Here is a 23,634-nt window from a genome sequence, read left to right as displayed (position 1 = left end):
GAATCAAATGAATCAAGCATAAATCCCTAGGAAATATTTATGCATTCATTTTTAACAATTTAAAGATGTGAAGATATATAATTAAGCATAATCCTCTCAAAGTTTGACGTTGAAAAGTATTTCAGATACTTCAACTTAAATATATTTTTTGCAAAATATCTTTTTTAAAAAAACAGATGTGGTCTCAGCAATGTAATTATTACAGTGTGAGGAGAGCTTACAGTTGTACCAAAATTTATAACTAGGAAGAAGAGAATGTGAAATAATCCGGAAACCTACAAAACTGTCCTATACAGGAATACCAATTAAACAGCTACTAAAAATGAGTGTAAAATGACAATATGGCTTTATCAAGTGCTTAGGGTCTGGAAAAATGCACATATTGCCTGTTATTTATTGTTATACTTAATGAATGTTCTTTTGCACGTGAGAACTGTTATAAAAGATGTCTTTTGTACATACTTGGTACACCAGTTGGCTTTTTAACCCATTAGCTGTTTTCCCCCAAAGGTGGCCTACTCTAGATGACGTTAAAAATACACATTTTCCAGGGACTTATATAAATAGTCAACTGCCCTATTATGGAAACTTAAAAGCGAAGGCCCTGAAATATCCAGACAGTTTGAACATAAACCAAAAATGAAGTGAATCTCTAGAATTGCTGTGTAATAGCGTGAGTGGGGAGGGGGTCCCTCAAGAGAGGGAACTGACCTTTTTCTTCCTCGTGGGTGACCTTGAGTACACACTTTATTTAGTCATTAAAAGGGTCACCTGAAGCTTAGAGAATGAAGATCCTACAGCCTGTTAATTTTATCATTGTTAGAAACTCTCTGCCTTTGGCCTGAAAATGGTAAATCACCTTTCTTAGAAGATTCTCATATCCAGATATTCTTACCAAATCAGAATCTTTTCCAGCATTTTCTTCAAAAAACCACAGTTCTGGGTTAAAACACAGCAGATCCTAACTGTAATTTTCCTTTCATGTACATTTTAGTCATCTTTATAATTTTAAATGAAAGACAGGAACTACATTATTTGAAATAAGGGTTAACCCCCTCTAATTATAAGCATTAATCACACACAGTTTTCTCATTTCTAAATGTTAAATATAAAATGGGAGCTATCTCTTCAGACACTTTTCTGTTGCCTTCTGTGTGCGGCAGGACCTTACTTTTAAGCTTAGTTTGATTTAAAGGCTGAGTTTCTGCTTGCTTGGAATGCTTGCTCTTCAAAATATTTGCTCCCTGGAGAGGGAAACTGAAGATGGAGCTTTCACGTGACTTTGGATTGCTGACCTGGAAGACGTTTGGGGTAATAGGATGGGCTAGGGCATGGTTCCACTGCTTTCTGTTTGAGTGGGGTCAGGAAAGGAAGGCGGGGCTCGCTGTGTGCAAACAGGAAAACATAGTCTGAAGATGTTTGAAGCCTGAGTGCACTTTCATTTGATGCCTTGCTTTATTGCTTAAGAGAATTTTAAACTGCCGAATCCGCAAATGTGCTGCAGCCTATAATGACACATATTTAAATGATTTTTGCATCTAAACAAATGCATTCACTCTTTGCCTGGTGTGTACAATTTGAATGACACTCGTGCTCTGCCTGGAAGGAACAGACGTTTTTCATTATAAAATTCAGTCAAGCAGAAAAGTAGCAAAGGAAGCAGAAATTTCCATTTACATCTATGATTGAAGTTGTAGTGATAAAAGAGGATGACTAAGTTGAAGAGTAGCCTTGTTCTCATTCTGCTATCTGACATGGGATCTTGTCACTTTGGTAATAGTTTTTAAACTTACATTATTGAGGAAGGCTCTGATCAGAAGTCTCAAATTATACATGTTCTTCAACCTTAGATTTTTCTGGGTGTTTTGTTTCAAAAGTCTCAAATTATATATGTTCTTCAACCTTAGATTTTTCTGGGTGTTTTGTTTGGTTTTTTGGTTATCTATAGATAGATTTGAGTATCTCTTTTTTTCTTAAAATCCGTTACTTACTAGTAATAAAGACTTAAGTGGTAGCTTTACGCTCCATTATCACAGAGATTCACAGTACTTTTTAGTTTTTACTTGTGAGCCTCAGCAGGTGTAGACAGATACCTTAGTTGCCACTGATAACATCCAGTTGCCACTAGATCAAGAAATGGTTCAAAATTCTCCAGGGGCATTTTCTGCTAAAGAAGAGTTGGTGATCTTCCTTTTGGAAGCCTTAATGTACTTAAACCTTCTTCCTTAGAAGTCCAGAAATTCAATTATTTCAGCTCTCTGTGGAGTGATAAGTCCTGCCAAATTGATTTACAATAATGAAACTAAGCCTTGTTTACAAATCTAAGTGGTGATTTCTAAGTCCACAGAGGCGTGGTAACAGAGAGAGAGATTCTGATTTATCTGGGGGTCTATCCGTGTTTGAACAGATTGTGTGATTTTTGAAACATGATTCAAAAGGGATGTTGATAAATTCTAAAATACATTTTTATTGAAGAGCTTGATGAATCATGTATACTTACTTTATTTGTTATTCTATTAGATATTGTCTTCCTCATCCCTAGGTGGTGTTGCTAGTACAGTGACAGAATTCAAATCCTTCTTTTTCCTCTGCTCTAACAGAGCTTTGTGAACTCATAGCAATATTGTAATGCCTGGTAAAAGGTGGTGCCAGTTTCAAGTACTATATCCTAATTACTTCATGGCTAACTCTTGTTATTGTTAACAATATTGTTAACTCTTTTGTTAAATGCAGTGACATCTTTTTTCTTTCTCATTCTCTGTGTACTTTTTGCCCTAAATAGTTCTGCATCTTTTAAGATACAAGTTTGCTTTTTCTTGGAGGTTTTTATTTGGAAAATGCCTGAAATATATAGACCAACATTTGTTCCTCCAATGGTTAAATTACATTGTCTCCCAAAGTGAGGCATTTTAAGTCTGGACTATACCCAGGAGAATCTAAAAGAGGCAGTTAATAAGCTCTTGAAGAGCACAGTGGGGTGGTTGTGTATTTATTGAGTCTCACACTTAGGAGAGAAATAGGCTGGACCAAATGAGCCTGGGCATCAAAAGCATGTGGGTGGTCGTTGGTGATATGTGCAGTGATGAGTGTGTGTGCTGAGGGTCCTAGACCAGGCTGGCAGGGAAATGAACTGAAGGCAGTGAAGCCTCCCCTGATAACTGCAGAGAGTGCTGCAGCATCCAGGACCTCAGGATCATGATGAACAAGCTGTAGTGGATGGAAGGGAGAGGAACTATGGGAAGGATGAGTTTCTGGCCAGAAAGTGGTTTACTGGAGTGCTGTGTCTGAGTATTACATGATCTGAGGACCATGAGGTCCAGCTTTGGGAGTATGGAGAGTTTGAGTGGAGTAGAGTTATAGTCCCATGGTCTTCTGATTCACAGACATTCATGAGCGATAAGTATCTATTGAGAAAGTGGAAGCATGATTTTTATGACCTCCTCTTGTTGTGGGGAAATCGATCAACGGGGCCTATATTGGTTGGGTTCTACAACCAAATAGAATGTGTTCAGCAGGAGTCATGTTTTGGGCTCCTCACAATGTTCAGTGTTAGTTCTGTTCCTTTCTCTTGCTTCCACATAGGAAAGACTTTGACCCAATGAGGAATTAGTCATTGTCCTTTGGGTACACTTCCGGAATTTGATAATCAGTTGGGCACTTGATTCTAGTACATTTGCTAAAAGTAATTAATACCCTGCAATTGGAAGCATGCAGCAAGCGACTGGGAATGCTAAGTGAAAGGTCAGAATTGAAAGAGTGGAGGAGGCTGTTGACCCTTAGGCATGGATGATATGTCTGAGTGAGAAAGCAAGAAGAGTAGAAGACAGAGCCTTACTTTATAATCAGAATTATGAAAAGAGGAGCCAATGAGAGGGAAAGAATGATTGGCTTGAGATAGATTGGTGGAAACTGGAGAAGATTGAATTTAAAGAAGAAAAGTGGGCCAAGTTCAGTGGCCCATGCCTAGAATCCCAGCAAATTGGGAGGCTGAAGCTAGGAGAGTTGCTTGAGGCCAGGAGTTTGAGATCAGCTTGGGCAACGTGGCGAGACCCCTGTCTCTACAAAAAATAATTAAAAAAAAAATTAGCCAGGCATGTTGGCATGTGCCGGTAGTCCCGGCTACTTGGAAGGCTGAGACAGGAAGGTTGTCTGAGCCCAGGAGGCTGCAGTGAGCTATGATCACAGCACTGCACTCCAGCCTGGTTGACAGAGGGTATCCCCGTCTCTTTAAAAAAAAAAAAAAAAAGAGAATGTGGCAGAGTAGTCAGAGAACTGGAGGGCTGAGAAGAGACTGATGGCATTTGTTGTTCTTGACCTTGAAAGAAGAGTTGCAGATTGTTGGAGCAAGGCCAGATGGTAATAGGTTGGAAAGAACAAGTGAGGGGCGTGAGAGTGACAGTCTACAACCCCGTTAAGAAGTTATCTGTGAAAATGCCTCTTCCTGTCTTGATTATAGCCTCCCTCGCACATGGCTTTCTGAGTATGGTATGTGAAAACAGCATGCTGTATATTTTTACCTTCCCATATGAGTTAAGGTTTTGGTAATGACTTGTGGTTCTTTTGCCTCACGGAACACCAACCTGGTTGGTATTTTGTCGGCAATTATGTGGTTTTTAAAAAGCCCCGTATATAACCTTAATTAATTGCGTCTCTAAAATCTATCAGGCTTTGAGTTTTTTGTTTTTTTTTTTTAAATAAGGCAGAAAGAAAGGAAAGTGTTAGGAGAAAGCAACCAGTGAGAATACCTATATTTTGAAGAAACAAAGTAGGGAATTTAGAATTATCTCTACTATATCTGCTTTTTCAGCTCATCTCTCGGGATACAGAGGACTGAACTAAGCTAAAGTAGGTTCAAGTCTAAAGGAAACCTTAAATTAATTTCTGTATTAGAATTAATCACACACCTATAAATACAATTTATGATATGAGAACTGCAACAAGAGAAATGGGGGGAGATGAGCAGTTTGCTGATCAATAGGGTTAATGATGGTAACATAGAATCCTAGTGATATGCCTCCCATTGACTAAAATGTATGCGTTAAGATAGCATAGCGCATAAAATGGTGTACTGCAGTCTCAGTGTATTCAAGCTTATTATGGTTTCTCTGCCTAGGTTTGTGTCTTTGGCTTTAGATTTTCTCCCATAACCCCAACCTGTCCACATTCAAGTCACTACTCCTTGAAATATATTATTGATCTCTAAAATCTGATGCTAAGTCTGTCTTGCCCAACGGTGGCCACTAGCCACCCATGGCCATTGAATATTTGAAACCTGGCTAGTCCAAACTATGCTGTGAGTATAAAAAACCCACCAGATATTAAAAAGTTAGTCTGGGAGAAAAAAACAAATGTAGAATGTCTTAATGATAATTATTTACATTGATTGCATGTTGAAATGATGAAATTTAGGATGTACTGGGTTAAAATATATTAATAAAATTAATTTTACCTGTTTCTTTTTACCTTTTTATGTTAATGTGGCTACAGGAAATTTTAAATTAGATATGTGGCCTCTATTATATTTCTGTGAGACAAAGCTGCTCCAAGCTGTTTTGGTCCAGAACTATATCTCGGTTCTTTTGTATCCTACATGGACCTGCATAGAATGGTATTTAGTAATACTCAGCAGTAGCAGAGATGATCTCTTATCAAATTATGTTAAGTTTTAATTTTTATTCTTGTCTCTCACCCTATGTGCACCTCTCTGGCCAGGAGGCATTTATCATATCACCTTTTAATATTTGGAAATCACTTGATCTGCTTGAGTCATTGTGTTGTTTTCAAATCTAGAACTCTTTCTACCTTATTTTGTAACTTCTATAATTAAACAAAAGGCGAACCAGGAGCAGCTTGGCTCTTAGGGATGTGTGAAAAGGCGCTCAGTCCTTAAGTTGGTGCCAAAAGTGACAAATCTATAGGATGAGATGCAGGTTTATGGAAGAGAAGCATGAAAATTTTTATTTTTTAAAAGGACACAGCAAGCTAGTCACCAAAAGACAGATACTTGATTCTACTTATATGCGGTACCTTTTTGAATTTGAAGAGTCAAATTCAAAAAGATGGAAAACAGAATGGTGGTTTCCAGGTTCTGGAGGTGGGGGAATGGGGAGTGGAGGTGGGGGAATGGGGAGTGGAGGTGGGGGAATGGGGAGTTGTTTAATGGTGTGCAGGGTTTTAGTTTAGCAAGATGAAAACAGTTCTGGAGATGGAAGGTAGTGATGGTTGTACAACGATATGAATCTACTTAACACTAAACTGTATAATTAAAAGTGGGTAAGCAAAGAGTGTCTTACAAAGCAATAACTTGTAACTTAAAATTTTTAAAAACCTTAATGAGATTAGTTGTAATGGGTTATCTTAAGTAGACCCTTACTGCCGGAAGGAACAGCTGAATCACATCACTTGGGAGCTTGTTAGAAAAGCAGACTCAGTCCCACCCTAGACTTGTCCAATCAAAACCTGCATTTTAACAAGGCCCCCAGGTGATTCATAGGCACTGTAAAGCTTGAGAAGCCCTGCTCCAAATATCATTTCTCAAAGTGTGATCCATGAGCCACCTGAAGCAGAGCCACCCTGGGAAGGTCTGTTTTCAGGCGCGTCCCAGAACACGTAAATCAGATCTAGGCTGTGGAGCTAGGGAGAAGATGAATCTGCAGACTGATCAGGATCCCAGGTGATTTTGAAGCATGGTTTGAGTTTGAAAACCCCTAATCTGGAAAGCTTTAACAACTATTACTCTTACAATTCCATCTTTTAACGAATGTTGGAATTATTAAATACTTGTAACAAGAAGTCCTGTTATTGATAAAATCAAGATATGACTAATAGTGCAGTCAAAAAGAGGCAACAAAAAAGCACCTATAACTTATCTTGGGTTGGTTAATGAGGAAGCTGTCATTCAAAATTAGTAAGACTACTGTAACATTTCTTGGGGTCCTGAACATTGGAATGAGAGTCGGTTTTCAGAGTTGAGCCCACCTCTGTCATTAGCTTTGTGCAAACCTCATCAGGCTCAAGATTCCTCATTTGTAAAGGGGAATGAATTCTCTGACCAGTTAGTTTACATTCCTAAGACAAGGTTAAATTTGGAAAGCAAAGAATTTTCGGTATATATGTGATAATTTTGAAATTCTTGAATTTTTAAAAAATTTAAATGCCACATTACTTATATTTTTTTCTAAAAAAAAGTCAAACCAAGCGCTGTCTAGTTATTAATAGATACCACAGATGAGATGCCTGAGTTGGTAAGCTCTTTTTAATTCTAGTTCTTTTCAACTACAATAATTTTATAGACTTTTTTTTGAAGGCTAGAATGTTGATGTGGAATCAAATAGGTATGCCTCTATGTATGGTAGATGCACCTGACAGGGATCACTTGACTTGAACATGCCCTGACAATGATCCTGTGTGGCAGGTGCACCTGATTCTGAGTTCTGAGTTAAGAAATCCGGGAGTGGGCCGGGCGGGGTGGCCGGTGCCTGTAATCCCAGCACTTTGGGAGGCCGAGGCAGGTGGATCATTTGAGGTCGGAAGTCCAAGACCAGCCTGGCCAATGTGGCAAAACCCCGTCTCTACTAAAAATACAAAAACCAGCTGGGCGTGGTGGCGCAGGCCTGTAGTCCCAGCTACTTTGGAGGCTGAGGCAGGAGAATTGCTTGAACCCGGGAGGTGGAGGTTGCAGTGAGCCAAGATCACGCCAGTGCACTCCAGCCTGGGCGACAGAATGAGACTCTGTTTCAAACAACAGCAACAACAAAACCCAAAACAAAAAAACAACAACAAAGAAATCCAGGAGTGGCTAACCCAGAGAGCCATTCCTTATCTGTAAGGAACATCTGAGCCCTCATCTCCTTCTGTGGAACATGGGCCTCGCCGGGGATTGAGACCCTTTGTTATGAGTTAAGTGGAAGTTGCCAGGTGGAGATTGTTAGGGGGAGGGTGTTAAATGAGAATGCTGTAGAGACCACATGCCTTTTGCAAGCGGCTGCGGTTCCTCTGTCCAACCCACCACCACTGGACTCTCTACCCTGTATGCAAGCCCCCAGTAAAACCCTATGAGACATACGGTTCACTAGCTCTGGGCCTCTTCTGGCTCTTGAACCTGGTGCCATCCACATTGCAGTCAGTAGGAGTTTGGCATGACACCTTATTATGTGAACTTTTATATCAAGCCATTAAATTTTTTTAAAATAGACTTTATATTTTACAACAGTTTTAAATTTACAGGAAAATTGAGAGGATAGTCCAGAGAGTTCCCATAGGCTTTGCATCCAGTTTTCCCTATTGTTAACATCTTATATTAATATGGTACATTTGTTGCAGTCAGTAAACCAATTTTGATACATGGTTATTAACTAAAGTCTATACTTTATTCAGATGTCCTTAGTTTTTGTCTAATGTCCTTTCTGTGTTCCAGGATGCCATCCAGGAAGGCGCATTATATTTAATTGTCAGGTCTCCATAGCCTCCTTTCCTCTTGGCTATGACAGTTTCTTTATACTTCTCTAGTTTTTTAATAACCTTAAAGGTTTTGTATTGGTCAGATAATTTGTAGGATTCCCCTCTGTGGGAATTTTCTCATGCTTTGCCTGGGGTTATTGGTTTTAAGAAGGAAGACCACAGAGGTAAAATGCCCATTTCATCACATCATATCAAGGGTACGTGTTTATCAACATGATACAGCCCTGTTGGCATTGACCTTGATCACCTGGCTCAGGTGGTGGTTGTTGAGTTTCTCCACTTGAAAATTACTCTTCTTCCCACTTTATGTGCTCTACTCTTTGGAAGGAAGTCAGTTTGCACAGCCCACAATTAAGGAGCAGAGAATTATGCTTCATTTTCTTGAGGGCAGAGTATCTACATAAATTATTTGGAATTCTTCTGCGCAGGAGATTTGTCTCTTTTTTCCTATTTATGTATTCATTCATTCAGTCATTTAGACTCATGGATATTTACATTGTACTTTGATTTCTAATCCAGCACTACTTCATAATTTTTATTGCTCAAATTATTCCGGCTTTAGCTATTAGAAGCCCTTTCACTTGGTTCCTATGCTCATTTGACATAGCCTCTTTTTTTTTTTTCTTACAAGATGCTGCAGTCTCATCTTGCATATTTTCAGCCCTAATCCTAGAATCAGCTGTTCCTCCAAGGAGCCCTTGTTCCTTTTATTGGAGAGTAATGTTATTGGAGAATAGTATTAAAATCTGGATGTTAAGGATGCTCGTTGCCACTGGAGTTTCTTTGCTTTTAAGACTTCTCAGTTGATAGAGCAAGGCAATGTATTTGTCCATGTTCACCCTTATGTTATGCAGATCTATAAATATTTCTATAGCTAACTAGTTGTATTTATATTAAGCTATAATATCTAGTCTATATTAAGCTAAATACAAGTTCATCCGGATGTTTCCTACTCTAACGTATTACCACATGGACACTATATCTCTCCTCCTTGGTTATGTATAAATTCTCACTCCATCCACCATCTATGTACTTAATTGTTCAGTTTCAGTATATGTGCGTAGCCGTATCAGAATTGTTAACCCAGGCTGGGTACAGTGGCTCATGCCTGTAATCCCAATACTTTGGGAGGCTGAGGCAGGTGGATTGCTTGAGCCCAGGAATTTGAGACCAGCCTGGGCAACATGGCATAACCCCATGTCTACTAAAAATACAAAAAAATTGCTGGTCATGGTAGCATGTGCCTGTAGTCCCAGCTACCCGAGAAGCTGAGGTGGGAGGATCACCTGAGCCCAGGAAGTCAAGGCTGCAGTGAGCTGTGATCGTGCCATTGCACTCCAGCCTGGGAGACAGAGTAAGACTCTTTCTTAAAAAAATAAAAAATAAAAAATATAAAAAAATTTGTTAACCCACACCTATATGGATCTTTTTAAAAGCTGCAAGACTGCTAACAAATATTTATTTATTTATTTATTTATTTATTTATTTGAGACAGAGTCTCCCTCTGTCACCCAGGCTGGAGTGCAATGACACAATCTCAGCCCACTGCAACCTCTGCTTCCCCGGCTCAGGCGATTCTCCTGCCCCAGCCTCCCGAGTAGCTAAGATTACAGGCACCCGCCACCATGCCCAGCTAATTTTGTATTTTTAGTAGAGACGGGGTTTCACCATGTTAGCCAGGCTGGTCTCGAACTCCTGACCTCAGGTGATCCACTTGCCTCGGCCTCCCAAATTGCTGGGATTATAGGTGTGAGCCACCATGCCTGGCCATAAATACTTATTTTGTTCCCGTGGTTTTTTTTTTCTTTTCTCTTTTTTAAAGTAAATCCTTTGCACTATTTTTATTATTTTAAGACCAGTGTTATTCAGAGCCTGGGTTAAACACTATTCTGTGTGTGTGTGTGTGTGTGTGTGTGTGTTTGTTTGTTTGTTTGTTTTTTGAGACAGAGTCTCGCTCTGTCACCCATGCTGGAGTGCAGTGGTGTGATCTTGGCTCACTGCAACCTCCGCCTCCCTGGTTCGGGAGATTCTTCGGCCTCAGCCTCCCGAGTAGCTGGGACTATAGGTGCGCGCCAACATGCTCAGCTAATTTTTGTATTTTTAGTAGAGACGGAGTGTCACCATATTGGCCAGGCTGGTTTCAAACTCCTGACCTTGTGATCCACCTCGGCCTCCCAAAGTGCTGGGATTACAGGCATGAGCCACCACTCCCGGCCAGCACTATTCTGTCTTATACTCACTCTGCCATCTGTGTGTGTATATGGTACGTATGTGAGGCTGGATCTGTGCACTTGGAAAAGTTGGAGAGATGATTTAGGTAAAACTTTTAGTTTTCACTTCTTTTGCCTTTTTGCTTATCTTGATCCATTTAGTTCCTACCATCTGGCAAATAGTTCTCATCTGAAGAATCCCATCTGTCAGTTCTCACTATTATCCGGTAATAGTTACAGTGAAATGCTGGTGACGGCAACAGCCACTTTTTAAAAGGATGTGTAATTCACCCTCATGTCCTCTTTGAGAACCCAGTAACTGCCCACACTCTGAAGCTAAAACCATAACAGTTTTATCACATGGAAAGTTTGTTGAGAAATGTTTGGCTGTTTCTGTGAAGTAATCGTCCCGTCTCTTGAGTACAGATGCCTCCCAGGAAAATTTTCCCAGCCTATTTGTTAATGTGAAAGTTACAAAAGATAGCATATAATGAGCACATTCAAGACAAAAAAATTTGTGGAGTAAGAGTCTGAAATGGTAAAATAAAAAATCACTTAAGAAAACATTTATCTGTAGCTGTCATTTTCATATACACATATCTAGTGTATACAAGTTAGTAAGTACATAATTCTCAAAAGTTCTACCTGTCTACACATCTACACAGAAAAATTAGGAAAGTCTTGTCCAGACTTTTCCATCATCTTCAGTATAAAGCATCTTCTAGCTGTTGGAATAGAAACAAGCTAGATTCTTGACTCCTTTCTATTTGATTATTTAGATCTGACCTTCAGACGACATCCAGAATCTGAGAACACGCACCACCTCTACTGCTCTCATCCTGGTCCAAGTCATTGTCATCTCCCACCTGGATTAATGCCAGAGCCCCCTTCCTGGTCTTCTCACTTCTAGTCTTGACCCCCTAGGGCAAGAATAATTAGCTTAGAAAACCACCCCAGAGCCTTCCAGCATTACTCTGAGTACTGGCCAGAGTTGGACAATGTTTAAGGCCCCGTGCAGTCAGCTGTCCCTGTCCTGTCCTGGCTGTCACTCACTCGCTTGCCCACTGATCTCTTCCACATCATTCCTCCACGACAGCACTGATCTCCTTGTTCTTCTGTGAGTTCACCAGGCATGCATCTGCCTCAAGACTTTGTGTAATACTTGTTGCTTCCTCTGGCTAGAATATTCTTCCCTTTGATTCTGAATACTTTGTTCCCTCACTTCCTCAAGTCTTCACTGAAATGTCATATTTTCAAGTAGGCATTCCCTGACCACCCTATTTAAAATTTCACCCCTCAGAAAAAACAAACAAACCACCCCTTTCTCTGCTTTATCTATGTAACATTTATTACCATCCAACAGACACTGTATTTTTATCTGTATTTTTTATCGCTTCCCCGCTAGGATCATATATCGTTTTATCTGTTTTGTTCACTGCTGTATTCTTAGCACTGAGACATAATTGTAAGTATGCAGTGAAGAGTTAGTGGATAAAGGACAGTGGCTGCAAGAGGGGATTTAGGAAACACCCCCTCCCAGCCAGGACCAGCACTCGGTGCAAGAGTTGAAAGAGTTGATCACTCAGATTCTCTGCTTCTCCAGTCGTAGGGACTCCACCCCGCTGTGTTGATTGCTGTCATGTATTCACCCCATCATAAGCAGTACTCACATGTAAAACAGTACCATGTCATCTCTGTGGGGCTACAAGTAGGTGGTGATGGTGCAATGAACATATAAAACCCCAGTGTCTTCAGTAGGTGCGAAATAGGTGATTAGTGAATGATGAAGAGTAGCTGTTGCTGTTTTGATTACTATGATTATTATTATGAGAAACTACTGTGGTTGATGAGATAGATACTGGGGAGAAGGATACTATTAATATAATTTATTGAGCAACTTTGTTCTGGGCACTAGTTGAGTACTTTAGGGATATTAATTCATTTAATTCTCCCAGTTCTGCCATTTACTCTCTATGTGACCTGGACTGTTACATAGTCTCTCAGTCTCACCCTCTCTTTTTTTTTTTTTTTTTTTTTTTTTTTTTTTTTGAGACGGAGTCTCGCTCTTTCGCTCAGTCTGGACTGCAGTGGTGCTATCTTGGCTCACTGCAACCTCCACCTCCCAGGTTCAAGCGATTCTCCTGCCTCAGCCTACTGAGTAGCTGGGATTACAGGCATGCACCACCACGCCTGGCTAATTTTTTTGTATTTTTAGTAGAGACGGGGTTTCACCATATTAGCCAGACTGGTCTCGAACTCCTGACCTTGTGATCCACCCGTCTCGGCCTCCCAAAGTGCTGGGATTACAGACTTGAGCCACTGTGCCCGGCCCTTGCCTTCTCTTATAAAGTGAAATCATTGTAGCTGCTTTGGTGTGGTTCTGAGGACGGTGAGAGAAGACGCACGTGAAGTATTGAGGGTGGTGGCAGGCACACAGTTCAGAGTTACTAACAATACTGGTGTTTTATCTTCACAAGGCAGATCTGGGCCCATAGCACAAGGAAACCGAGGCTTTGGCATTTTACAGTAATTACATTGCCAGAACATTTCCCCCACTTTCTTGAATCATCTTTACCTCTTGAGAGATGAGGAAGAGAGGGCACACCTCGGGCAGAAGTCCAAAGACCTCAGGCATTTTTGGCCTTTCATTCCCATGATTCTGGCCAACATCATTTTAGTCCCCAGCAGTTCATAGAAATATTGTCTTTTAATCTGATATTCAAATAATCTGTGCCTTGAAGAACCTGTGTATGGCTCTAGAATCTTTTACATTAATCTACTCAACCCCACTCTGATGCTCAAAACTTCAGCAGTCTGTTTTTTTTTTATTTTAATGTCTTTATTATTATTTTTTTTTTTGAGACGGAGTCTCGCTCTGTCGCCCAGGCTGGAGTGCAGTGGCGCGATCTCGGCTCACTGCAAGCTCCGCCTCCCGGGTTCACGCCATTCTCCTGCCTCAGCCTCCCGAGTAGCTGGGACTACAGGCGCCCGCTACCACGCCCGGCTAATTTTTTGTATTTTTAGTAGAGACGGGGTTTCACCGTGTTAGCCAGGATGGTCTCGATCTCCTGACCTTGTGATCCGCCCGCCTCGGCCTCCCAAAGTGCTGGGATTACAGGCGTGAGCCACCGCGCCCGGCCTAATGTCTTTATTTTAAACATTTATTTTTAGAGGTAGGGTCTCTCTAAGTTATGCAGGCTGGCCTCAAATTCCTGGGCTCAAGTGATCCTCCCACCACAGCCTCCCAAGTAGCTGGGATGACACCCCCAGGTGCCGCCATCCTGGCAGCAGAGTCAGTTTTGATACATCTTTCCCTTCTCATTCTTCCCAATGTCATGGATTGGGAAGTTACTGTGGTTTTAGTTGCAGTACTTTTTACTCTGAATTCTGTTTGCTTCCTGGAATTCTGTCTGTCTTTTGAAAAGACAACATAAAGAAATCGAAAAATATACTTTAAATTCCATAGTGTGGGAGCCTCTGCTACTCGCCTGTTTGATATTCATTCCCATTTTTTCCTTTCTAAAAGAATTCCAGATTTTTTTTGTTCAGGGTGACAATGTGCTCTGCTGAAAATACTTTCACAGATTCCCTTGCAGGTGCATGTGACCAGATCACAGTAATGGCACATATGGCCTCAGTGGAATTTGCTGAGGAGTATGTCCCTCCCAAGTAACAGCAAAGCTTTATTAGAGGAAAAAACAACAACAGAAAACCTTTCACCTTTGTCTTGTTTCTCCTGCCTTCTGTCTGGAACTTGGACACAGAGTCTTGAATTTCTGTGACCATAAAACACGAGGATAAAACCAACGTGCTCAGGATGGCAGTACAGAAAGATAGGAATACGCTGGTCCCTGATGGCATCATGGAATATCTGCAGTGGCCCTAGCTTCAGTGTCACTTCTTAGGTGAGATACATAATCCTACCGTGTGTTTAAGCCACGGTTTGACATGTGGTCTATTCTCTGCCGCTGACTGCATTCCCAGCTGTTCTATATGGCTTGCTAGCTAATTTAAGTCTAGTTTTATTGTCAAATTGACCACATTGTAGATTATAATATTAAAGTACTTCACAGTCTAAAAGTGAACTACTTTTGTAAAAGCCAAAGGAAATGGGCCAAATGAACCATTTTGAACAGAGTTTAAATGAGTGAGTTGAGTTACCACTCTTGGATGGAGAACTGGAGACCTGGATTTTCAGTCTAGTTCTTCTGCCAGTTGGCTCTGTGGGCAAGTCACTTGACCTGAGCTCTTTTCCTCCCATCTGCAAAATGAGGTAATTTGAGCTAGACAGTCCTCCCAAAGACCACCAAAGAGCTAGCAGATTGAGGCCTGCAGACTCCTATTGAATTTGCCATCCTTGTTCACCTTGCCAAGACTTCATAGCCAAGAAGCCAGACCCAGATTTTGTTCATTAGCTTTGAAAACACCCTTTCAGTTGGGTGTGTGTGTGTGTGTGTGTGTGTGTGGTGTGTGACATGCGTTTTGAATATAAATTGTGAATTGTTTTAGCAAGAAACCAGGTTGTATGTTTCTCAATAAACATGCATACTGTATATTGATGAATTTATCCACTTGAAATAAATGGTGCCAAATTGCCTAAAGTTTGCTGTAAACAGGAACATGATTTCTCATTATGATGTTTAATTTGTTTTAGTCTTTGATCTCTTACATCAGAATTCTGTTAAGAACTCTTTTTACCTGAAAGATCAAAGCAAATAAGCAGAAGCATTTATAAAAATAAGGTATACGTGGCTGTGGAGAGAAACTCCAGGTATATACGATCATAGGCTTTTTAAAATTAATAAACTTTGTTTTTAAAAACAAAGCAGTGGAAGTTCACAGCAAGTTTGAGTAGAAAGTACAGTTTCCATGTAACTGCTGTCCTAGCAAAGATTTTTAAGTACAATATTTTTTAATTAAAAAGAGAAAATATAAACCGTGCTAAGCCAGTTGGTGAAAAAGGCTTCATTATACTTTTAGCACTCTTAACGCTTATTAAAAGTTTTTAAAAACAGATTTTTGTGGTTGAATCGCTTACAATTTCTGATGTGTAACCTTCTAACATGTTTCATCAAATTTTAAAAGTAATGTAAGCAGTGCTGTCCACTGCTAAATTTTATTTTAATGTTAGAATACAATGAGGTTTCTATTTTGCCATTAGTCCTGAGAGCTTATTAAGTAACCAGTTTTAATCCTTTAAAAAACCATTCTCATTTTGAGGGACACATATTTCTTAGCTTTGTGCAATATAAGAAGCTAAGACCATCTTGGCAGTATCAAATGAAATGTTTTGCAAGTTAGAAAGTTCAGTAACCACTTATAAACATAATGAACAATTGTTATAGTCAGTCTAATGCAGAAATACAGGTGTTGGGGGCAGGGGGGTGGTGGGTGGGCAGACTTGGTCCACAAGTAGTAGTTTGCCAACCTCTGTCCTAAACACAAGTTCAAGAATATGGTTCTCTTGGATAGATTTTCTGCCAGATGAAAGTAAGAGTAACATCCTTAGCTAATGAACTCCTAATATCCAAGGCAACTTTTAATTAATTCAGGCTTTTAAGAAAAGCTTGTTTACCAACTCCTCATTAAAAATGTTCAGACTGGCTGGTCGTGGTGGCTCATGTCTGTAATCCCGGCACTTTGGGAGGCTGAGGCAGGCAGATTGCTTGAGCCTAGGAGTTCGAGACCAGCCTGGGCAACATATCTAGACCCTGTCTCTGCAAAAAGTGAAATAATTAGCTGGGCATGATGGTGCACAGCTGTAGTCCCAGCTACTCAGGAGGCTGAGGTGGGAGGATTGCATGACCCCCGGAGGTCGAAGCTGCAGTGAGCCATTGATCCAACCACTACATTCCAGCCAGGGTGACAGAGTGAGACCTTGTCTGAAAACAAACAAACAAAAAGATTAATGCAGTACATGTCCTTTTGGTGAATAAGTAAATATGTTTTGGTAACTTTAGCTTTGCATTATAATCTAGTCGTCAGCAGATTGACTAAGGGCAGATAAAACAAGATGATTTGGTTTTGTGGTTTGGCACTTACTGTCTGATTTATGCCCCCAAGAACTCTTGCAGGCCAAGGTCGAGTGTATCTGATACCTGCTCTGGCTCTTCTCACGAACTGATTTAGTAGCTTTGGGCCAGCATTAGATTTTTTAAACTCTTTGACCTATTTGTACATGACAGGCATTTAATCTTTCCAGTAGTTACTTGTCAAATAGAAAAGCATCACTTCTTAGTTTGGACATTTGCAAATATGACTGAGCAGAGCTGACAGATGAGGTGGGCATCTTCAGGCCATAGGGTACTTCTGGCCTCCTGTAACCTAGAAAATTGGGATGCCTCAGATATCAGGTATTCTTCCAAGCAGCTAGGGTTAGTCCCTGACCTCAGAAACCCTGAGAGCCCTCAGAAACCCTGAGAAATCCACCTGGGAATGGTGTATTTGTTTTGGATGAGATTACCTTTACTTTCCATTCTCCAGGTCTTCTTGTGTTTTTTGTTTTTGTTTTGTTTTGTTTTGTTTTATATCATTCTATGTAAAAGAGAAATGTGGTATCATTTGCATTATCATGTTATTTCTTTCCTTATAATTTATATCTTAATGCTTATCTCTGGGGCTAGGTTATAATCTCCTGAGTTAGGTAGCCTTAGGTTTCTTGGCGGAGATTCCTCCCCTGGGAAGTGAGGTTTATAAAAGAACCCGTGATGTGGCCCTGTGGAGCTGCATGGGGTGTGTGCTCAGTACTCACTGGTTTCTTCCCTGCAAAGTGACACCTGCAGCCTTTGGGGTACCATGTCTCATAATTTTTGCATTCCCTGCAACACACACTATACTGCTATGGGCATCATTGATCATTTTAAAGATTTAAGGAATGACAAGATACAGTGCTTATTCTCCCCTATGATTTGCTTAGATTTTTATCTAAATAGTACTTATTGAAATAAGTACTTCAGTATCATGCTACATCTTACATGTTTGAGCTAGAAACAGACTAAAGTTTAAACCCTTTTATGAGAATGAAAAGTTACTTCCTTCCCCTTCTTAGGGCTTTTAATCCCTCTTTATGTTGCATTTCAGAAAATGCCCTATAGCGTACTATGAAAGAAAGACATTCATTCCTGTCTTTGCTGCTGTGTGGACGATCTGTATTCCTTGCTCCGTGGGAGTTGTGGGTTTATGTCTATTCTTGCATGTTTTGCCTGAAGGACCACAGTGACCTACTTGGTGGTCTCCCTGCTTTCATGGTTTCACTATGCTGATCTATCCTTCACTTAATTATAGAGTCTATCTTAAAAAAAAAAAAAAAAAAAAAAAAACTTTTGGCCTATGTTGCTTCTTCCAAAATGGCATCCAAAACCTAAGCCTCTTTAAAATTGGAGTCCAGCATGCTTCCCCAGTGCTACTTCCTTCTGGACTCCCTTTGCCACTTGCTTTCTGCTTCCACCCATATCCAGATGGGCTGCAAATATGCCTTGCTGGTTCTTTACTCTGTCTTTGCACAGGAGGCTCCCTCATTTTGAAGGGTCTTTTGCTACCCATCCATCCATCCATTTGGATTCTATAATAGAGTTCTTGATGTTTGACAGAACTAGGCCAGGAATTGTGGGGGTATAATGGCAAGCAAGACAGAGTCTATCCTTACGTTATGGAAGTTCAATTCATTTCCCATGTGGCATACTACTTCTCACCATTCAGATTCATCTCGAATATTGTTTCTTCTTTGAGGTTTTTCCCACTGCACCCAAGATACTGGCCTGACACTTTCCTTATCTCTATTACAGAATTTAACTTGTTCATTCATTAACAGATATTTATTGCCTACTATGTGCAAGAATCTGTGCTAAAAGCTGGGAATATTGCAGTAAACAAAAATTAAGTTTACAGCTTACATATAATGTGGTAATTATCCATCTTTTACCTTCATTAGACTGAGTTCATGTAGGACTTTATGTAATATCTTTATATCTTCAATACCAGAAATGCCTAGAAATAATTTGCATAATATACATTTTCTTTAAAGATTTAACAAAAGTCTGAGGGACAGTTTTCAGAATAAACTGAATTAAACTCTCTCTCTCTTATGTGTGTTATGTAAACATATATATAAAATACACTTTTGGGTTTTTTGCTTAGGAAGTAGAAAAATGCTAAAATTTCTGTTACTTACAAGCAGATTAAAATGTCCAAGAAAGAAAAGTAGGGATTTATATTGATTCTGCTCAAATGCTTACCTAGACAATGTCAATATTTATATTTTACTCCCCTGTTGTAGTAGAATGGTAATTGGTTCTCTAGTTAAGCAGCTTTTTTAGGATTAATTTTGAAGCAAGAAATTCAGATTAATTAAGGGACAATTTCACTTGCAGCATTTAGGCATTATTTTAACCATCAAACTTGAAGTGGCAAGAAACGGAGTTGCTTAAGGAGGCCAGACGTAACATTCTAAAGGTAGTAGGGTCTTGATTGGGTTGCTTAGGCATTAAAAGGCTGTTTAACTTGTCTTGAAGTCTATCTTTCCTTGATGTCTTCTGCGGTAAGAACACTGTGATACAGATGGAATGACGGGAAGTGGTTTTCCTTTCTTTCAGTTGGTGAGTTTGTAAGTGATGCCCTTCTCGTTCCTGACAAGTGCAAATTCTTACACCAGGAGAGGATGGATGTTTGCGAAACTCATCTTCACTGGCACACCGTCGCCAAAGAGGTACCAGCCCATAAATTCTTTCTTATTGCAAAGTGAAGATTTCCTGGGGACGTGCTTAATGGCATTTTAGGGGTATTTTGAGGCAACAGCTATGTTGATAAGTTATTTAAGAAAAAAACCCAGTGCTACTATCCGTAACCCAGATTTTAGTTTTTAGAGTGATTTTAGGTTCACAGCAAAATCGAACAGAAAATAGAGTTCCCGTGTACCCCCTGTCCCCACACATGCGCAGCCTCCCCATCCATGAATATTTTTAAAAAGTCAAAAATAGGGCCAGTTGAACTAGATTCATTATGTGCCTGTGCCGTGTTTCGCAACTTAAAAATATAAGTTGTCTGTGCCATGCCTTATAACTTAAAAATATAATCTCTAATAGTTATAACTTTAAAGTTTACCCTTCAGATTATTTTTATGCACCTGTTGTTTTCTTTTGTCATATACAATTTTTTAATAATTTAGCCTTTTCCCCTGTTATCTATTAGTGAATACAGTGGTAGAACAGTGAAGTAGCTTTTTTATACCAGCCTGAAAGCTCCAGTTAGAATTCAGTTTCTCAGTTATACCATCCAGTTTTATATTCAGCAGGCCATGCCTACCATCTTGATTTTTCCACAGGGTGAGTCTGACCGAGCACTTGGTTAACCTCTGCTTTTGGCTAAGCCAATAAAAGATGTAAGATACTTAGCATGAAAAGGTCACTGTGTGGTAAGACCACCTTCACAGCTGCTGTGTCCCCTTGATAGGTTTCCTAATAAATTTATATAGGTTTATTTGTGGCAAGATCAGTCTTAGGCTAACTAGAATTAGGCTCCTTTATCTAGCTCATAGTGCTTCACTTGAGTCAATTTTGATCCCCTGTCCCTCACCGGAACATGTCTGGAGACATTTTTTGTTATTACAGCTTGAGGGAGTGGTGTTACTGGCATCTGATAGTGCCCAGAGGCCAGAGATTCTGCTAAACATCCTACAGTCAACAGGATAACCACCCGCCACCCCCAAGAATTAGGCAGTCCAAAACATCAATAGTGCTGGGGTTGAGAAATCTGATCTAGCTTAGCTTAACCATTGTATCATAGCTTTATAGCTGTTAGACAGAAAATACCACTGAAGATTTAGTATTATTTTATGCCTCTTATAAAATAGTATATTTGGATCCACTGTAGAATAAAATGTTTTTTATGTAAAAATGTGTTTTGGAGGTTTAAGAGCTTGCTGAGTTTAAGAAAACAAACCAAATAATTTGAAGTCCAGCTACCTATTTGATAACCTCATTTTTTATTCCTTCTGTGTTTTCAAAAGAAAAATCCTTTGTCTCTAAGAAACGGAAATGACTCCCATAAGGTCAAAATACAGTCTGTAATATTTTCATTGTCTACCTTTATGTCTTGAATTATTCATCCTTCATTTATCACTAGTGGATGCTCTCAGAACTTTATGCTAATCTAGATTTGTGCAAATTTAGCAAATCCCAGAAAAGCAAAAAGACATTCAAGGAGAAATCTCTAATGACTGTAAGTTCTGATTCTTAGTGGCTGCAGGGGATAATTTCTTCTCTTCCCAGGATTGTTACTCTGAAAGTGAACCAAGAGAGTCAGAATTTCTAGGATAAGGCAGGTCCATGTGAGATAAACTTCCATCTGTAAGGGAGGTAGGAGTGAGCTGGGGATCTACCTGGAATGCGCACAATTTCTGGATACACGAATTAAGCCAGAAGGCATTAATTCTCTGGTATCTGTTCACCAGTGGAGACTGCTACATCTTATTTCCCAATTAGTTTCCATTCCAGTTGTTCGTATAAACCTCTATTATATAACATCGTGGTCTTATTAAATAAATAATAAACAAGAATAAAAAGAGTACCAAAGTGTAACCCATGCTAAAAAAAATCCTGTTGTAAATTCACTCAAAAAGCAAATAATCTTTTCCTTTGTGAAATTGGTTCCTAATATATTGGGTCTGCATGTTGATTATTTTATGTGGAGTTTTCTTACAATGAAACACATCTACTCTACCACTCACTGTTTTCTCCTTACACTTTGTAGACATGCAGTGAGAAGAGTACCAACTTGCATGACTACGGCATGTTGCTGCCCTGCGGAATTGACAAGTTCCGAGGGGTAGAGTTTGTGTGTTGCCCACTGGCTGAAGAAAGTGACAATGTGGATTCTGCTGATGCGGAGGAGGATGACTCGGATGTCTGGTGGGGCGGAGCAGACACAGACTATGCAGATGGGAGGTAAGGTGGCCTTTGTGTTCAGCCTCAGAGATGCTGAAACATCTTGTATGGAGTATTTGTATCCTGTAAATTAATCTTTCTGTTTATCACTGAAAAGGTCTCTGCCCACTCCCATCAGAGTCTGCTGTTATGCAAAAATCTGAACTATGAATTTTTATGGCATCCTGTTGAATTAATAATATCAGTCACCCATCACAGAGTTAATTTTAACTATTTAATATTAAACTTGGGATCAAAATCCCACTGATAACTATCATAGGTTACTGGTAGTTCTAACAGGGAGTTGAAATAATAATGGCGTTCTGTTTTGGTCATTAATTTAAAAATATTTTTAAATGCTCTCTGGGATTGTCAGTCATTAGTTTAAGGTGAATTTTCGTTAAAGGTTTGGTTTGAGATTTTGGGCGTTCTCTGTGTGGATGTGTAAGGGTTTTTTTTTGGCCTTTTATCATTTCTTTTCCTTCATAGTGGAAGTCAAAGGCATTAATAAATGCTTGTTAATTTTTTTTAACTACCTTTGATTTGTTGATTGTAAAGAAACCTATTTTCGCCTCTTTTTCTTAGGGAGCTTAGTCCCGTTACTTCTTACCTGATTCTCATTCTTAACTGAAGGCAAACATCTATATTCAAATCATAAAATTATAAAATGAGAATCTTTGGGTTGGAAATGCCATCTGGTTCAGGCATTGATTTTATGCTGTCTCATCCCCCGAAGGGTGATGATTGTATCACTTATCTTATTCCTTCAGTATTCTCTTAGATGTTCCCTAGAGCTACAGATTTCCAAACAGCACATTCAATAGGAGTTGTAAGTTTATAATCGGCAAACTACAGGATGCTTGTTTTTTTTTCTTTTAATTTCTGGTGTAATCTGCTACTAGGGCCCCCATAGAGTTTATTGTCTATATCAGCTAGAACACTGGGACCACAGTCATAAACTGAAGGATCCAGGCAAACTGGGTCATATGGTTACCCCCACCAATTACAGTCTTCAGTGATGATGTCACTATCCAGGTTGATATTCAGTTGAAATGCTAGCCAGCTCCTTCCTAGTTACCTTCATTTACATCCCATTTCAGTACCTGAACACAGTCATGCTTTAGACTCTGAAATTCCTTAGAAATAGTACCATAAGGTTTATAGCTTTGATATTCCTCTCTGATCATGATCTTCCCTCATAATCACCTCCCCAGTTCAGGCTTTTAGTCCATTATCCTCTTTTTCCCTGCCTGCCTTTCTAATCAGGATGGAATCAATGGATAACCATTCTTACCTATTCCATTGAACATCCTTGACTTGGCTGAAACCCTTCACATTTTCTAAACATATTTTTGTCAATTCTCCATAGCTAGGAAAAATTAATTTCTTTCTTTAGTTGCTTCTGGGATTTCTAAAGTATCAAGTCATGTAACCTTACCACTTAATTCCATTTCTTATTCATGCTGTAACATCAGCTGGGATCTTAATGTTACTAGATGCACCTAATTATCTCTGTCTTGATGACCTATCATCTTCCCCATAGCAGTTGATCCAGCCCAACTTCATTCTCCTTGGTTCCCAGCGTAACTCTCTCTCATGCTCTACAGATGACCCCTCCACCGTCATCCATTGTGAATTTCTGCAACATGGTACCTGACATTTGGTAGGTGCCCAGTACGTGTTTGTTGAATAAACCATTGAATTTTCTCCTGTACTTCAGCAACTCTTGTACCTTCTTCTATCCCTTTGTTTCCTGTCTTCCCTTTTATGATTATGTTCTGCTGGACTCTCAATCATCTCCTCTCCCTTTCTTGCATTTTCAGTCTCCCTCTCCCCCACACCCCCAGGCTTCATCCACCCTCCTCCCAGATAATTCTTTCCCATGTGTTACTATCTTTCTACTATGTGTTTTTAATCCTGTTGACAGTTGGTAGGAAATATTTGATGGTTTATTCTACCTGTAGAAAAGTCCAAATTCTCTTGCAGGGCATTCAGAAGTCTCTTACATGGCTTCAGCCTGCATTTTCAGCCTTATACATGTATGT

General features: G+C 39.7%; 1 protein-coding gene across 11 annotated transcripts in view; it reads left to right on the top strand.

The window, feature by feature from the left end:
- Positions 1 to 23,634, top strand: part of APP (amyloid beta precursor protein) — a 290,579-nt gene that overhangs the window by 98,519 nt on the left and 168,426 nt on the right. For all 11 annotated transcript variants that reach the window (NM_001136131.3, NM_001136129.3, NM_001136130.3 and 8 more), the window contains 2 exons: positions 19,262 to 19,374; positions 21,417 to 21,610. In NM_001136131.3, the coding sequence (NP_001129603.1) occupies positions 19,262 to 19,374; positions 21,417 to 21,610 (307 nt within the window). The remainder of the gene's footprint in view (positions 1 to 19,261; positions 19,375 to 21,416; positions 21,611 to 23,634) is intronic.

Source organism: Homo sapiens, chromosome 21, assembly GCF_000001405.40.
Source record: "Homo sapiens chromosome 21, GRCh38.p14 Primary Assembly".
Taxonomy (NCBI): Eukaryota; Metazoa; Chordata; class Mammalia; order Primates; family Hominidae; genus Homo; species Homo sapiens.
The sequence above is the reverse complement of the archived record's forward strand: the minus strand, read 5'-3'. Positions and strand labels throughout refer to the sequence as shown.